The 17301-nt window shown below is 45.2% G+C and overlaps 1 protein-coding gene and 1 long non-coding RNA gene across 2 annotated transcripts in view, besides 3 other annotated features; one reads left to right on the top strand and one right to left on the bottom strand.

The window, feature by feature from the left end:
• Positions 1 to 1673: 1673 nt before the first annotated feature.
• VAT1L (vesicle amine transport 1 like) overlaps positions 1674 to 17301 on the bottom strand; it is a 191544-nt gene continuing 175916 nt past the window's right edge. Inside the window, exons 8-9 of the mRNA NM_020927.3 lie at positions 9848 to 9931; positions 1674 to 4184 (exon numbers count right to left, since the gene is read on the bottom strand). Coding sequence (NP_065978.1) covers positions 4086 to 4184; positions 9848 to 9931 — 183 coding nt within the window. The 3' untranslated portion in view covers positions 1674 to 4085. The remainder of the gene's footprint in view (positions 4185 to 9847; positions 9932 to 17301) is intronic.
• The window catches only part of LOC105371351 (uncharacterized), a 41987-nt gene continuing 34746 nt past the window's right edge, over positions 10061 to 17301 (top strand). The window contains exon 1 of the long non-coding RNA XR_007065123.1: positions 10061 to 10552. This is a non-coding gene — a long non-coding RNA (uncharacterized LOC105371351). The remainder of the gene's footprint in view (positions 10553 to 17301) is intronic.
• Positions 11865 to 12482: an enhancer, noted in NCBI's record as "H3K27ac hESC enhancer chr16:78003196-78003813 (GRCh37/hg19 assembly coordinates)". NCBI's record gives its function as "activates a minimal SCP1, AML or CMV promoter by ChIP-STARR-seq in primed H9 embryonic stem cells {active_cell/tissue: H9 hESC(primed)}" and the evidence as "EXISTENCE:reporter gene assay evidence [ECO:0000049][PMID:30033119]".
• Positions 13720 to 14338: an enhancer, noted in NCBI's record as "OCT4-NANOG-H3K27ac hESC enhancer chr16:78001340-78001958 (GRCh37/hg19 assembly coordinates)". NCBI's record gives its function as "activates a minimal SCP1, AML or CMV promoter by ChIP-STARR-seq in naive and primed H9 embryonic stem cells {active_cell/tissue: H9 hESC(naive and primed)}" and the evidence as "EXISTENCE:reporter gene assay evidence [ECO:0000049][PMID:30033119]".
• Positions 14339 to 14956: an enhancer, noted in NCBI's record as "OCT4-NANOG-H3K27ac hESC enhancer chr16:78000722-78001339 (GRCh37/hg19 assembly coordinates)". NCBI's record gives its function as "activates a minimal SCP1, AML or CMV promoter by ChIP-STARR-seq in naive and primed H9 embryonic stem cells {active_cell/tissue: H9 hESC(naive and primed)}" and the evidence as "EXISTENCE:reporter gene assay evidence [ECO:0000049][PMID:30033119]".

Here is a 17301-nt window from a genome sequence, read left to right as displayed (position 1 = left end):
ACTTAGTAGTGTGTGACTTCCTAAGAAATTCACCAACAGCATGACTTTCTGCTTTGTCAATTCTGGTTTATATATGTGATATTTTACTGACATAGGCCTGTTCCGTTGGCTTCCTGCTGAGAAAGATGGTAAAGCACAATACACCCTCCCCAGCCATGAATTCCTCTTTTGTGAAACCCTAGCTGGTGGATATTTACTTCTTAGTATCTCTTTGATAACCTTGAGGATTTAAGATCATGAAAACGAAGGCTGTTGATGAGACATGTGAGTTTCAAAATCAGTATGTCACCAAACACTTGTATGGAAGGTAAGAAAAATAAATATGCTTCTGGACACGCATATTATTTGCTACCAAGCAAGACAAATTTACAAGCATATCCTTGAAATCAGAGAAAACCAAATCCCTAACGGGTTTCGAGTGAACAAGGGATCACTAATTTGAAATGCGTTATATTTTACCCTTATTTAAGGTTCAAGGTAGCATGATCAGGTGGTTAAGAGCATGAATTCTGGCGGCAAAAGTATGGCTGGAAATTGGTGAGTTGTAGCTTTCACTTAGTAGCGTGTGATCTTAGGAAAGGGCGCAGGCTCCCTTGTGTTTCAATCTTGTCACCTGTATGTGGACATAATGATAGACCTTACCTCTTAGGGCTGTGGGGAAGGCATGTGAGTTAATATGTGGACAGTTTTTAGCAACATATAGTAGGTTGCCTTATAAATGTTTGGCATTATTATTGTTATTTTATTCTTTTTTTTTCTTTTTTTTTTTTTTTTTGAGAGACAGAATCTCGCTCTGTCACCCAGGCTGGAATGCAGTGGCACGATCTCGGATCACTGCAAGCTCTGCCTCCCGGGTTCACGCCATTCTCCTGCCTCAGCCTCCCGAATAGCTGGGACTACAGGCGCCCGCCACCACACCCAGCTAATTTTTTGTATTTTTAATACAGACGGGGTTTCACCATGTTAGCCAGGATGGTCTCAATCTCCTGACCTCGTGATCCACCCACCTCGGCCTCCCAAAGTGCTGGGATTACAGGCATGAACCACTGCGCTTGGCCTATTGTTATTCTATTATCGTTATCTGTATCATCACTGTCATCATGAACATATGATAGTTTTTTTTTGGTTTTGTTTTGTTTCTGAGACCGAGTCTCGTTCTGTCACCCAGGCTGGAGTGCAGTGGTGTGATCACGACTCACTGCAACCTCTGCCTTTCGGGTTCAAGTGATTCTTCTGCCTCAGCCTCCTGAATAGCTGGGATTACAGGCATATACCACCATACCCAGCTACTTTTTGTATTTTTAGTAGAGATGAGGTTTCACCATGTTGGCCAGGTTTTCTCAAACTCCTGACCTCAAGTGATCCACAGGGTCGGCTTCCCAAAGTGCTGAGACTACAGGTGTGAGCCACCGCGCCCGGCCCATAGGATGTTTTCAATATATATATATTTTTTTAACCTAATGGTTTTACTTTCTGGTTTGAGGGAACCTGAAAGTGATTTTAAAGGCTTTTCTCCTCTTAACCCCTATTTTCTCCATGTGGTCTTTAGTTTCTTATCTGGAGATGCTCCCATTAGGTTTTTAACTTTTCTTGTTTCAGTTCCCCATTCATTGCATATTTAATAGTGCGACTGCTTATCCAGCAATGAATTATGTGGAATAGCAGATGCCAGGTGAGGTTTTGCTATGCTGAATACTTTATTTATATTTTTATGTAAACATAATTTGCTTTATAGGCACAATATAACAAAAGCTCTAAAGCCACAAAGACATTAGACAATGTTTCAGTTCACTTCTATCAAGCTTAAATTACAGAGAAGCCTTCACAGTTCCTTTAAGGCAGACTGAGACATTCTTTACACTTCCTTCAGAAAAAACAATCAAGAGACAGGAAAGAAGGTGCTTAAAATGAGAGTACGTTAAACAATTAACTTGCGTCCCCCGGTTCTTCATGGCAGAAATTGGTCTTATTGGTCAAACTCTAGTTTTCTCGTTCTGTATTCTGAAAGGGTTTTCTTTAACCATCTGGAGTAATTTGCGATTACTGGATTAACTTTGCTAGTTAAATAAAACCAAACCAAACCCAGATTTGGTAGGGGTGGTGGGGGAGAGTGCCTTTTTATGCCTCTCCTCTGGACATAACAAAGGCGATGTGAATTCTGAATGTGGCTGAGTTCCCACTCCCCGGGGGAAGGAGAGCCCTAGTATGGCCAAGGGCTCTTCACTCCTTCAGCTCTGGAAAATGTCATTTCTACCCAACTTACTAGGAATGCCACTTGGATGACAGTTCTCCCTAAGACCCCCTTTTCAGCATGGTTACGGGAGAAACAGCCAATAATATAGCACTTAGCAAAGGTAATAGGGGAATAAACGCCCCATTATCTCTCTAAATGACCCAGAACTGGAATATTGGTGGGTCCTGGAGTACGAAGAAAAGATGATGCTGGTGTCCTCCTTTGGGATACTCTCACCCCTTGGTTCCTCAGATGAAAGCACCCTTTCTTGTCTTCATATTTTACATACACATTCACAATGAGGAGAAACTCTTCAGATAAGTATTTGGCATACATAACTCATCATCATAAGCTTAGGATAGGTAAAAAGACCACGAATGAGGTGACATTTGCTACAAAAGGACTTTGGAAATCAGGTAATTGCTAAGATGCATTCGTTCCTACCACTTGCGGAAAGGGTTGGGTCCACCCTAAGGCTTGTTGGTGGAGAAACTGGGCAATGTAAAATCCCTCTGATGTTTTTCAGAACACAAAGTTGGGGTATGAATCAAATGAGCTCCTGGTATCTCCACATTTGTTTGTGAGTGATAGTTAAGCATTTTAGCCAAAAGGACTGGAAGGACGGGGTGAGGAGCTCCCTCTGTTTCTCGAAGGTAACTGTATTCACCTCTCAAGCACAGTCAAATTGCATGGGGGTGGGGTTCCTTAGGAGCTGAAAAGTTGAACAAGGTGTGTGAGCAGGTGGCTTGTTCCTTGGTTTCCGAAGAGCAGGGCGCTGCAGATTCTACACCGGGGTTTATATATGGGAGGGGAGGAACTGTACATCTGACATCAGATGCTGAATATAAACCTTTTGTATCCCTAGAGTTTGTTACATGTTGGGACATGCTTTGGCAAGGAAGGAGATGCTCATTGACTTTTCCACCTATGGTCTGCAAAGGAACTCTTCTTTGGGAAATCCATGGTCAAAGTGGTCACTTTCCACCAGGAATTGAAATTTACAGAATTGGTAATGCAGGTGGCAAGTGTGCAAACACCAGCAATGCTCAGGAATGACTTCTGAATGTGTCTTGTATGTGGTGCTTTCTTAAAATTGAAACAGATATGGAGCAGGAAGAATCCTGCCCATGAGATGTATTTTGGAGGAGAAATCTTCACAGCAGGTCCTCAAACTCATGCTGTTGACCCATTGTCTACTGTGAAAAATCCATACCTGCCTCCCTGTGTTTACAGATAAGAGCCAGTGAAAGGGTCAGACACTGAAGGGGTAGAAGAGAATGGCTCAAACTTTTGACCGTAGTTGTCTCTTAAATGGAGAGAGAAAAAGTACTACTAGGAGAGTTTCTAAATTTGTGGGCTCATGAAAACATCCGGCCTACTCTCTTTCTGCTGGCCAAATTGGCAAGTGTTCTCATCAGAGGCATGGGTGGCCAGCAGCAAAAAAGTGTCACTGGCCTGAGGAATTCTAGGAGCTGGACAGGGCTCTGTGATAACACCTTTCCATCCAAACTTGTCTTTGCCCACGTCTGGTCTCTTAGGCATTGGGCCTGGGACTTGTATTAATTTGCAAGGCTGTTCTAGAACTGTCAAGAAGAACCCACAGATGGATGGTTTTGATACAGGGGAGAGGGGAATGTGTAATACACAGATAGGAGAGGGACATAATACTGCATGGCATGGGATTGGCACTTCAAAAAACAACAGTGATCAACAGCTTTTTAGCTCAGCTGACTGCAGACAAACACGACACGCACTGGACTACAGCATTTGTTCACTGGGGCACAGAAGAGTTTTCTCAGCCGGGTCCTCATCTTCCAAACCATCCTTCACATTCTCCCACCTGGGTCCTCAGTTACTGGATAAAGGGCATCCGCTCCTTGTTCTCGCTGTCTCCCTCGTGGTCCTCCTCCTCTTCCCCTGCTTCACTGGTCTCTGTGCTGTCATTGGCCATCTGTAATTCAAAAGAGGATGTTATTGAGGGTTGTGCAACCCAGCCTCGTCATCTCTGAGCATCTGACAGAGTCCTATGGGAGGACTTCTTGGGGGCTAGGAACTAGGGTTGCTTGTTTCCCTGGAAGGCAATGCAGGATTAGCTGTCATATGTTGGGCACCCTGAGAGACGGTGCTGAGATAAGGATTTGAATACCAGTATCTGGAATTTAGGAGATGATCCCAGGAAGCAGTAGCAGGGGAGTGAAGAAATGAGACCAAAAAGGGGAAGAATCCAATGCAGGGTATGTTAGTAAGTTGGTTCCTGTGTGGGCAGTGGGACTCAGTCCTGCTGGGGACCTCTGAGAGACCCTGGGGGACACATCTTAGAGCTGTCTCTTCTGAGGGAGGAGGAAGCCATGTTATGGCTAAGGGCTGCTCTCAGGGGAGGTGAGTTATCTCCCTGCACCCCACGCAGTTTCTGTGCAAAACTCAAGCATGCTCTGGTGACAAGAGTTAGCTCTCAGGCAGAGAGGGGCAGGTGCCCACAAGAGGTGCCCCTGGAGCGCAGGGGACCCGAATGCCAAGGGGAGGTGTGAGGGGTATTGAGAGCATCAGCTGCACAGAGTCCCCAGGGTTGAAGTCTTGATGCTGTCACTTAAGAAGAGCAGACACAACAACCAGAACAAAGGTGTATTGATCTGCTTTTTGGTCTCTCTTCCCCCAACTGGAATATAGTTTCTGGGAAGACAGGGATTTTGCCTGACTCCTTTTCTTTTGTTAATCACTGGTACCTGGCATAGTTATGATTACCCCTCTGGGTCTTCATTTCCGCCATCATTACAGTGGCGATAAATCCACCTACCTTATAAATTTGTTTTAAGAACCAGGTGAAAGAAAATGGAGTAATGTATCTAAAGAGTCTAGCAAAGGGCTGAGCATATGACAGAGACTCAGAACAAACTAGTTCTGTCCATTAACATCCCCTACATGATCTGTGCCTCAGATTTCTTTTCTGTTCTTATCCCCTGATCTAGATTGGGCCCCAGATCTCCCACACTTGAGTCCTTGGCTGCTTCATGGCTTATTCTGACAAACAGGAATTTGGCCCCTGAATCTCAGCTCTCCCCATGTTGTCTCACCTGAAGCTGGGTTCTCCCCCTTGGCCACACCATGTGCAGTGCCTTCTCCCTGGAATGTCATTCCTCTACCCCCTCTGCCCAGTTCATCCAGTCCATACCTATGTTTCCTTTAGGGCTCATCCTGCTTCCTCAAGGAAGCCTTTGCAGAATTCCCTAACTGGAACAATCTCCCTATTATGAGCTTTCATGGCCCAAATACCTCTTCTTTGTAGCACTGATCAAGAGCTGCAATGTCCCATTTATATGAATGGCTCATTGGCCAATGTCCATCTGCCCCTGCCAAACGGTAGACACCACGGGAGAGGACCATGTCTCTGCAGTTTTCTTCCCTACCACTAGGTACATATGCAACAAGTGTTTTAGGATAATGAAGAACTAACCAGCTAAGCTGTTCCTTAGTAGTGTATATTATAATACATAGTCACCAATATGCCAATTGGCTCGCAGACATTGGTTCTTTTAATCTTCTCTATGGCTCTTTGAAGTAGCAGCAATAGTAGTAATTATTGTTGTTAGTTCTGTTCTACAGCAGTGGAAAGGGAGACCCTGAGGTGATGTGAACACAGAATCCATAAGGGCAGCAGAGGTCAGTAGCCTTCAGGAAAGGCCACCTCTATTCTCTGGGGCACTGGTCAGATGGCCAGGACTGGGGCAGGGCTGCCCGCTGGTACTGTGGGGTCTGGAGGCAGCAGTTCTGCCTCTGCTCTGACCTCATGACACATCATAGGATGAGTTTCGACTTTGCTTTGGTCCAGCCTCATTAAGAGGAGGCTTTCAGCAGGAGAGACTCCACTCTTAGTGTTTCCCAGGAAATTTACTTCTGGAGCTGCCAGTAGCAGTCGACTTCCCCTGCCTGGGTGCTGCCCACACGCCTTAGAGCCCAGACTATTCTAGAGGAGCAGTGTGTGTCCTGCAGCATGCTGGCTGGGCAGATTCGGGGCTGAGTGAGGGCTGAGACTGGTCATGGCCGGGCGCGGTGGCTCACGCCTGTAATCCCAGCACATTGGGAGGCCAAGGCGGGCAGATCACCTGAGGTCAGGATTTCAAGAACAACCTGGCCAACATGGTGAAACCCCATCTCTACTAAAAATACAAAAATTAGCCAGGTGTGGTGTGGTGAGCACCTCTAATCCCAGCTATTCTAGAGGCTGTGGCATGAGAATTACTTGAACCCGGAAGGCGAAGGTTGCAGTGAGCTGAGATCACACCACTGCACTCCAGCCTGGGTGACAGAATGAGACTGTCTTTAAAAAAAAAAAAAAAAAAAAAAAAAAAAAAAAAAGTGGTCATTCCAGTAGGAGAAAGCACCTCTGCAGGCGCCTCTGTCCCCTCCTCCAGCACCTGCTGAGCGGACAGCGACACATCCTGTGGAGCCTGGAGCTTGAGTTGTTTCCTCTTCTGTCAGGTGCTAACCCTAAAATGACCTCACTGGATCCCTCCTGCATCTCCATGTCTTCTGTTTAACCTCAAGACATGCTCCCTTTCCTTCAAGTCTGCTTTTCCATCTAGATAGGCCGTAGCCTCTTTTCCACCACGTGGTTGCTCTGATTACCCATTCTCTACTGTCTTTTTGTTTCTTTAGGTCCCAGGGATAAAAGCCTTCAAGGGGGCCCGGTACAGTGTCTCATGTCTATAATCCCAGCTCTTTGGGAGGCCAAGGCAGGTGGGTCACTTGGGGTCAGGAGTTCAAAACCAGCCTGGCCAACATGGTGAAACCCTGTCTCTACTAAAAATAATAAAAAAAAAATTAGCTGGGTGTGGTGGCATGTGCCTGTAATTCCAGCTACTCAGGAGACTGAGGTGGGAGGATCGCTTGAACCCAGGAGGCAGAGGTTGCAATGAGCCGAGATTGTGCCATTGCCCTCAAGCCTGGGTGACAGAGTGAGACTGCATTTCAAAAAAGAAGGCTTCAGGAGGTTCAGAAACAAGGACAATGACATTGTGTGTGGCACAGGCAGATCCTGTGCCTTTACCCTGAAAGGTGGATTTTTCAGCATCTGCTCCAGTAAGAATCCTCCCTTGGTAAGACAGGCCTTCCTATCAGCCCGAGGACTTGGGAGCAACTCATGTGTGATGGACACAGGAGCATCCCAGGGTGGGAAATTGGTGCCAACTATTTTCTTGAAAGCCATAAGCTTCCAGGATGGGCCTAGAGCCTGTCTGCCTTCTCCAAATGGGACTGAAAGAGACTTGGTCATATGTTTAAAGACTACAAAGAGGTGTACAGGAGACTCAGGATCCAAGTCACTCCCTCCCCTCCCTCTCGTTGCCCTCTCATCTGCTTTGAACAGCCCTGGAACTTAGTAAGTATTTAATAAGTTATATCCATGTTGTATCAGTCACTTAACAAGAGGGTGTTTTACAATGTTGAAGGTGTCCTTCATTGAATGAAATGACTGTCATACCCAAATTACATTATGGTTACAAGTCAAGGAAATACTTTTAAAAATACACACTCCTGGCCGGGTGCGGTGGCTCATGCCTGTAATCCCAGCATTTTGGGAGGCCGAGGTGGGCGGATCACAAGGTCAGGAGATCCTGGCTAACATGGTGAAACCCAGTCTGTACTAAAAATACAAAAAAATTAGCCAGGCATGGTGGCAGGTGCCTGTAGTCCCAGCCACCTGGGAGGCTGAGGCGGTAGAGTGGCATTAACCTGGGAGGTGGAGCTTGCAGTGAGCCAAGATCGCACCACTGCACTCCAGCCTGGGCGACAGAGCGAGACCCCATCTCAAACAAACAAACAAAAAAACACTTTACATGACAATATGCAAGAAATTTTAGTTCTTTTTTTTTTTTTTAAAGAACTGATGCAGCTTCAAGAATCAATGTGTATGTAAATGAAGAAACAAGAAACACTTCCCGAATATTTTTTCTGTTAAAGATAACCTGGGGGCCAGGCATGGTGGCTCACGCCTGTAATCCCAACACTTTGGGAGGCTGAGGCGGGCGTATCATGAGGTCAGGAGTTCAAGACCAGCCTGACCCACATGGTAAAACCCCATCTCTACTAAAAATACAAAAATTAACCAGGTGTGGTGGTGGGCCCCTGTAATGCCAGCTACTCAGGAGGCTGAGGCAGGAGAATCGCTTGAACCCGGGAGGCGGAGGTTGCAGTGAGCCTAGATCGTGCCATTGCACTCCAGCCTGGGTGATAAAGTGAGACTCCATCTCAAAAAAAGATGACCTGGAACTTAGTACATATCAGACAATGCTTTATGAATACTATTCTAACTGGGAACTTATCAATCTCCACTTTACCGATAGGGGATCAAAGCTGAGTAGTCATGTAACTTGCCCAGGTCATAAACAGGGGCTCAAGGTTTTGAATCCATGCAGTCGGATGGTCTGTGCACTGACCACACCACTACATAGTTCCTCCTCGAGAGGCCCCAGGGAGAATAGGTGGGATGTGAGTTTGACATGCTATACTCCTGGTGGTATCCCTGGGATATAAGGGTTTTATTCTGGTGAAAGAAAAAAAAAATCACAGCTGGGTGTGGTAGCTCACGCCTATAATCCCAGCACTCTGGGAGGCCGAGGTAGGCAGATTGCTTGAGCTCAGGAGCTCAAGACCAGCCTAGGCAACATGGTGAGATTCTGTCTCTAAAAATAATATAAATAATATTTTAAATTATATTTTTATTTATATTTTACATTATTTTTATTATTTTATATTATTATTATTATCATTTTTGAGACAGTCTCATTCTAGTCCCCCAGGCTGGAGTGCAATGACGCAATCACGGCTTACTGCAATCTCTGCCTCCCAGGTTCAAGCGATTCTCCTGCCTCAGCCTCCCCAGTAGCTGGGATTACAGGCACCTGACACCACACCCGGCTAATTTTTGTATTTTTAGTAGAGACGGGGTTTCACCATCTTGGCCAGGCTGGTCTCAAACTCCTGACCTCAGATGATCCACCCGCCTCAGCCTCCCCAAGTGCTGGGATTACAGGCGTTAGCCACCTCCCCTGGCCAATAATAATTATAATTAGCTGGGTGTGGTGGTGGTCTCCTGTAGTCTCAGCTGCTCAAGAGGCTGAGGTGGGAGGATCACTTCAGTCAGGAGGCGGGGGCTGCAGTGAGTTGAGATAGTGCTACTGCACTCCAGCCTGGGTGACAGAGTTTAAGACTCTCTCTCTGAAAGAAAGAAAAAAAAAATCTGTGGAACCATCAGGGAGCATCTCGGAAGCAGCTGGCATCATTCTGTTAGGAACATGAATGTGAAATTATTGAAATTTTCCAGGAATTTCTCCCAAGAGCTAGCAGCTGTAATAGACAGGTCTGTTGTTGCTATGCTTTCCTGCCTATGCCTTCAGATTGCTTTTGATATGCTCTCACTGAAGCACTGGCCTTTCCTTTTCAGCATTCATCTCAGTTTGTCATGAATCCCTCATGTATGACATCATTTGATTACCCCTGGTCTCCTCCACTAGCCCACAGGCTACCTGTACTTCCTTCTACCCCACCCGTGTCTGCATCTGATTGACCCGTGGTGCTCTCTCGCGTGGAACTGAACAGACTCCTCTGCTTTTCACTCACCAGTGGAGTTGGGGTCTTTTCTACATCCAGAATTAACTTGCCAATGTTCCCTCGGTCGTGAATCCGCTGCATGGCCTCCTTCACCTGCGCGAAAAGGTGAGAAACAGAGGTGCTGGTTAGGCGAGATGTTCCCCAGTTAAAAAGGGGGCCTGGAGAACTCAAACTGTCAAGTGACCACCAGAGGGCGCTGCGGCTCAAGTTTAGTGGCTAAGAGGTTGCTGTTGGACGCTGGGGTGCAACTACATTCTGGTTGGGCCATTCACACACACTGATCTTGTGCAAACATCTTCTGGGTCGGAAAAGTGAGGGTGACAGCTCTTGAAATAAGTAGATGAACATTCCTTAAAAGGGTGGGGGAAGGTTCTCTGGAGTTCTCAGAATTATGTGCTGCAGGGTGGCAGGGTGCATTAGTCAGATTAGATTTTGACCAATAGAGATATTTTCTGAAGGTCATTTGTGCCCTGCTTACTTCAATGTTATTTAACTGTGACTCGTAGTTGGGCTAAATTGACCCATTACTCAAGGCTGAACTGAACTCAGGAAAATTCTCACGATTCTGGTTATTGGGAGGAAATGTTGTCTCTATCTAAGTGCAGTTTCCCCTCAACACTATAATATTCTCCCCAGGAAAGAGGGCCTCCTGTTTCTTTTCAAATGTTGGGGGCTTGCCAGGCCAACAGGTGTCTCCTGGGATCCTCTGAAACGGTAAGTTTGTGGCAGAATCCAATTTGCCTTTTGAGCATTTCATTCTGTTGCCATGTGGAATTCCAACTGTTGAGGTGGGGATGGGGAGGGAGGCATGAGAGTTAAATGAAATCCAGAAAGGGCAACATGGAGCTTGGTGCTTGGTACAGGCCCATGCTCCACATCTCAATGAAATCTGCGTGGAAATGCAACATCTCTTGATTAAGAAAAAAAAAAAAGTTTTAATAGATCTAGCCTAAATATTTTTCCTGAAGTCTCAAATGTTTAAAATTTGTGTTAATTCAGTCCAAAAATATTCATTAAATGTTGCGTCTAGCCTAGATGCTATGGTTAAACAAAATTAAAAAGTAAGATACAGTGCCTGCCTTTGAGGAACTCACCCTGTGGCTGATTGATAGAGCAGTATTTGCTTGTATGAAAACCGAAGACTTCTACACATTTGGATAACAACTTGACACAGCTATTAAAATGTTTGTATTCTAATTGCTTTTCTGGAACTTTATCCTAAAGACATAATTTAAATTATGGGGAAAAAAACTTATTACACAAAAGATACTCAATTACAGTATTGCTTTTTATGGCAGAACATTGAAGCAACTTATATGTCCCAGAGATAAGGGGATGATTAAGTAAATAATGACTCTCACATGTGTCTACTGAAAGGAAATGATATGTGGTTGTTAAAGAAGATAAAGATATATACAGCTAATTACAAAGACTACATAGCAGAATTAAATGTTGTAATATTGCTAAATGAGAACTGACATGCATATTTAAAATGTTTTAATCTCTAGCTCCATAAAAACACACATATACTAAAATAACTAGAAAGGGCTATGGATATATGATAAAACATCATGTAGAAGAAATGGATGCCTTTTAACTTTAGCGTCAGTCTGGTAACATATTATCAAATCAGTATTTAATATAAATGCACTTTTAAATGCAGTCTTTGGACAACCTGGCAGTGATCGGAATCAACACATTTTTGGGGGGACAGGGTCTTGCTCTGTTGCCTTGGCTGGAGTAAAGCAGTACAATCACAGATCACTGCAGGTTTGACCTCCTGGTCTCAAGCAATGCTCCCACGTCAGCCTACCAAGTAGCTAGGATTACTGGCAAGCGTCACCACGTGCTCAGCTAATTTTTTGCCTTTTTTTTTTTTTTTTTTTTTTTTAGTAGAGATGTGGTTTTGCCATGTTGCCCAGGCTGCTCATGAACTGTTGGCCTCAAGTGATCCTCCCCCGTTGGCCTCCCCTAAGTGCTGAGATGACAGGCATGAGCCACTGTGCCCGGCCCTGATCTCTGATTAATAGTGTCATATGATTGTTAAAATTTCTTGACCCTAATACATAATTCAGTAGATTCCTTTTATTTTTGTAGTGAGCTCTGCTTTTCAAAGGTTTTCACATTTGTTCATTATAGCTACTGCCCACCGGGAATCTTCATATATTGTAGCAGACACCTTCTAAAATGGTTGTCAGTCATCCCCATTGCCTGGTACTCATCCCCTCCCCGTGAACATGGGCTACACCTAGTGACTTGCTTCTAAGCAACAGAATAGAGCAAAAGTGATGATACATCACTTCCAAAATTAGGTAATAAAGGACCGTGACTTCCATCTTGCAGTCCCTCTTTCTCTAACTCTTGATGCTTCCTTGTTCTGATGACTCAAACTGCCATGTTGTGAGCTGCCCTATGGAGAGGTCCACATGGCAAGAAACTGAAGGCAGACCCCAGCCGACAGTCAATGAGGAGCAGATACCCTCGGTCCAAATGCCAGTGAGGAACTGAATCCTGCCAACGACCACAGAGACCTTGGAAGCAGACCCTTCCCCATTTGAGACCACAGCCCCAGCTGACACCTTTGTCAGAGGCATTTGAACCAGAGCAACTCTGTCCTGAGTGAGGGCTAGGAAAATGAGGCTGGGACTTGCTGGGCTGCATCCCCAGAGAGTTAGGTATTCCTAGCCTCTAGATACTCACGGTTAAGGGAACAGATTGATAATGTTTACTAAACAGACCCAGACTTGGGAGTGTGCTGATAACAATATCTCGATATCTTGAGAACAGAAGCATTCCTAATTTTGCTTTAAAGATAATAATATCAGGCCAGGCATAGTGGCTCACGCTTGTAATCCCAGCACTTTGGGAGGCCAGGGCGGGAAGATCACTTGAGGTTAGGAGTTCAAGACCAGCCTGGCCAACATGGGGAAACCCCATCTCTACTAAAAAAACAAAAATTAGTTGGGTGTGGTGGTGGGTGCCTGTAATCCCAGCTGCTTGGGAGGCTGAGGCAGGAGAATTGCTTGAACCCGGGAGGTGGAGGTTGCACTGAGCTGAAATCGCGCCACTGTGCTCCCGCCTGGGCAACAGAGCGAGACTGTCTTTAAAAAAAAAAGAATTGATTCTTGCAAAATACAGTAATTAAAAAAATTAATCCTTTATCACAAACCCTCGTAGCAGAGCCTGTCCCCATGCTCTTTTTGTTTGTTTGTTTGTTTGTTTGAGATGGAGTCTCTGTTGCCCACGCTGGAGTGCAGTGGCGTGATCTTGGCTCACTGCAAGCTCCGCCTCCCAAGTTCATGCCATTCTCCAGCCTCAACTTCCTGAGTAGCTGGGACTACAGGCGCCTGCCACCACGCCCGGCTAATTTTTTGTATTTTTAGCAGAGATGGGGTTTCACCTTGTTAGCTAGGATGGTCTTGATCTCCTGACTTTGTGATCCGCCTGCCTTGGCCTCCCAAAGTGCTGGGATTACAGGCGTGAGCCACCGCGCCCAGCCCATGCTCTTTTTTTATTCTTCATTTAAACAAGCATTGTACCCAGGGTGAACGTGTTCCTCCTCTTTCAGGAACTCACTACTCTGTCTACGGCATAGCTATTGTTTCACCACTTGACTTTCTTGAACTTGTTTTTGCTTTGCACTGTGGACTGGCCCTGAATTCTCTCTTGTGTGAGACCCAAGAGCCCTGTCTTGGGGTCTGGATCAGGACCCCTTTCCTGTAACACCCCAATTGCAGCCTTGTGAGAATCAAAGGACCAACTAAGCTGTGCCCAGATTCCCCACTCACAGAAACTGGGAGATCATAAGTGCCTCTAAGTTTGTTGGGGGTGGGGGAGTTAAATGCAATAATAGATAATATATTCTTATCTCACATACATAATTATTACCTTGCAAAATATATCCCCATTTTACAGATAATGTACCCTGATGCTCAAAAATAGAAGCAATTTACCCAAAGATTACGTAGTTAATTGTGACACAATTGTGGTTGGCACTCAGGGCTGCCAGACTTCAAAACTAAAGCTCTTTCCCAGTTCTGCCTAGTCCGTACTGCTTTGTTTGACTCTCAAAGGCAGAGGAATGAGGTAGGTAGTGTCTCACGTCATAGATCTCCAGCATTCAGTTATTTATCACCCTGGCAAGTTATTAGCATCTGAAAACTCCTTGGAGACTAGGAACAACTTTTAAGCTGCCTCTCCAGTAAGACAGAGCCCAGAGAAACTGAAAAGCTGTTTTCTCACCAGTTAAAGCTTATTGTGATGCTAGGAGAAAAAGCTCCCTGCAGGGCTGCCTCTAATCTGCATGCTTTTTGGATATTTCTTTCTGAAATGAACTGACTCCTTGAAGTCCCTTACGGAAAGGATGGATAAAGGATTAGCAGTATTTCCAAGAGGCCATTTAAGTAGCCTGACCTCCTATTCACGCTGTGTGCATTTCTATCCTCTTGTTAGGCTGCTCTTGGAGCCTTTCTGATGACAATGTTGAAGGAAAGAAATGATATTGTTCTTGATTAATTCTTTCTTAGGCCACCATATGAGGCCCTTTGCATAAGTTGCTTCCTTTTATCCACACACACCAAGCCTCTTAGAAGTGTCTGCATCAGTTTCACAGAGGAGAAACCTGATGATAAGCAGAGTTAAGCATCACAATGATTAGCTGAGTTAAGCACCACAGTTTCACAGATAAAACATCCAAGGTTCTTGCCTCTGGTGCCCATCTGAAAGGTGGTGAGAACCATGGGGGATCTGAGAGGGCAGCTTCCCCTTCCTCTGTTGTCAACACCCCAAACTGCTCTCATATAACACCTTGGCAAAGCAAAGTCTGCACAAAAGAGACATTGCTCCCAAATTACCGTTTATAAGTGAAAGCACCCCGGCGGGGGTGACAGTGCCCAGAAGATAGTGGTGATGGGCTCGATGGGCTCCAGAAAGCTCAGTAGCACGTGGGAGACTTGTCTTCTCCGTTGGGACCACCAGAGGTGCTTTTTTTTTTTTTTTTTTTTTTTTTTTAAAGTACTCTACTGCTTAAAACCCTTCCCCACTGTATTCAAGAGAACTGTCTAGTAGACCTGCATTGCCTAATCCTATAGCCACTAGTCAATGTGGCAAGTGCGCCTTTGAAATTTGGCTAGTAAAAATTGCCACGTGCTGTCAGTGTAAAATTCACACCAGACTTCACAGACTTAATCACCATAAAAAAGAATCCAAACTATTTCAGTAAGAGTTGTTGACATTTATTACATGTTGAAATAACAATTATTAAAATTAGTTTTTTGTAGTTTTGAAAATATGGCTAGAAACTAGAAAATTTAAAACTTTGCATGTGGCTCACATAATTCTGCTGAACAGCACTGGACTGCATGTTTCTGGAGCTGGTAACTGTTGCCTTTTCTGGCTTTATTGCTTTTCTTCACCTTTCATCACACACTCACGTCCACCACTTACGATGTATCTGAAGTTCACTGGGCTCTCTGCACTGTGTCTCTGTACGTCCTGGGTCCCCTCCTGGAGTGCCCTGGTCCTGAGCTACCTTGGATTTGTCTTGCTGTTGTTGACTTGGATGTGAGCTCTTCTAAGTATTTGCCCTCCACCCTCAACCTCACAGTCTCGCCCAAGCACTTACCCCTTCACACCTCAGTTGGCTAGTGATGTCAACCTTACCCCAGCCTTGTAAGTTACACATCAGCCTCTCCTCTCCATTGCAAATCAATAGAACAGTGCCATCTAAAATAAATATAAAGCGAACCACAAATGTGGCTAAAAATTTTCAAATTAACCACGTCAAGAAATGTAAAAAGAAACTGGTGAAATTAATTTTGAGATATTTTCTTTAACCAAATATATCCAACATGTTATTTCAATATATACTCAATATAATGAAGTAATAATTTACGCTTTTTTGGGGGGGACTGTTTGGAATCTAGGGTGTATTTTACACTGAGAGTAAATCTCAATTCAGATGAGCCACACTTGAAGTCCTCATTGGCCTCCCATAGCTCATAGCTACCATATTGGGGATTGCAGCTCTATATGGGCAGGACAATGGTGTCTACCTCAGAGTCCATAGTGCAAAAGGACATCTGTCACACAATAGCTTCTGGGATGAATGAATGAATGAAAAAGTGGATATGTGGAGACAGTGAGATGTCATGTGGCTGAGCCTCACCTAGAGGTCTTTGTCCTGCCTACCCCACATCCTAGAGCCCCTGGCCTGGGCAGCTATCTCTTGGTGGCCTGCTAAGTGCAGCCTGGGTGGCCCAGCGGAGTCTGTTCATAATCAGGACCATGGTCCCACACCCAGTCTGGGATGCCACGGCCAGCTGCGTGGCTGGCCATATCTGGTCTTGGCAGCTGGATTTTCCAGGGCTGGGATTCTGGATTTACTCAGGCCATCTCCAACAGAGCTGGTTTCCCATCCAGACAGTGGAGGGAGGAAATCTGAGTCATGTCATTCAAGCACCTCAAGATGCCAACATTCTAAGCTCAAAGGACATCTGGACTTTCTCTGACACTTCTGGTGTCTGGGAGGCCAATTTGACAGCATCCCAAGTGCATGGTGGCAGGAGGCAGTGGGAACATTCCAGGGCTGAAACCTGGTTCTGCTTTGAGTTGGTAATATCATTCTAACAACTGGCTTCCTCTCTCTGCATCTCATCTTATGTGAGTGATAATATCTATACTACTCATTCGTTCACTCATTCATTCATTCATTTATTTATTTGTTCAGTCATTCAACAGAACCAAAGCCCTGGGCCGGGAGCTGGCTGAAACAGATGTTCTCTCTCTGTCCTGGGGGAATCACAGTTTCCCTTATTAAATAGGCTTATCATAATCATAAAAAAAAATGTGCTACAGGCAGCCGGGGTGGCTCATGCCTGTAATCCCAGCACTTTGGGAGGCCCAGGCGGGCGAATCACCTGAGGTCGGGAGTTCAAGGCTAGCCTGACCAACATGGAGAAACCCTGTCTCTACTAAAAATACAAAATTAGCCGGGCATGGTGGTGCATGCCTGTAATCCCAGCTACTCGGGAGGCTGAGGCAGAATTGCTTGAACCGGGGAGGCGGAAGTTGCGGTGAGCTGAGATTACGTCATTGCACTCCAGCCTGGGCAACAAGGGCGAAACTCCATCTAAAAAAAAAAAAAAAAAAAAAAAAAAAAAAAAGTGCTACAAAGGGCGTGAGCAGTGTTCCACGATGGAGAATAGATGGTGAGGGGTTGGGGGAGAGTGACCCAGTTAAACAAGATCCCTGGGGAAAGCAGACAGAATGACCTCACACTCCCAACCCATCCATTCCCTAATCTCCAGAACCTGAGGATATGTTTGTTACCTGACATGGCAAAGGGACTTTGTAGAAGTGATTAAGCTAAAAATCTGAGATGGGGGATTATCCTGCATTATCTGGGGGCCCCATGGAACCACAACGATTCTTGCAAGAGGAAGGCAGGAAGGTTTGGCTCAGAG

The sequence above is a fragment of the Homo sapiens genome, chromosome 16, assembly GCF_000001405.40.
Source record: "Homo sapiens chromosome 16, GRCh38.p14 Primary Assembly".
Classification (NCBI taxonomy): Eukaryota; Metazoa; Chordata; class Mammalia; order Primates; family Hominidae; genus Homo; species Homo sapiens.
The sequence above is the reverse complement of the archived record's forward strand: the minus strand, read 5'-3'. Positions and strand labels throughout refer to the sequence as shown.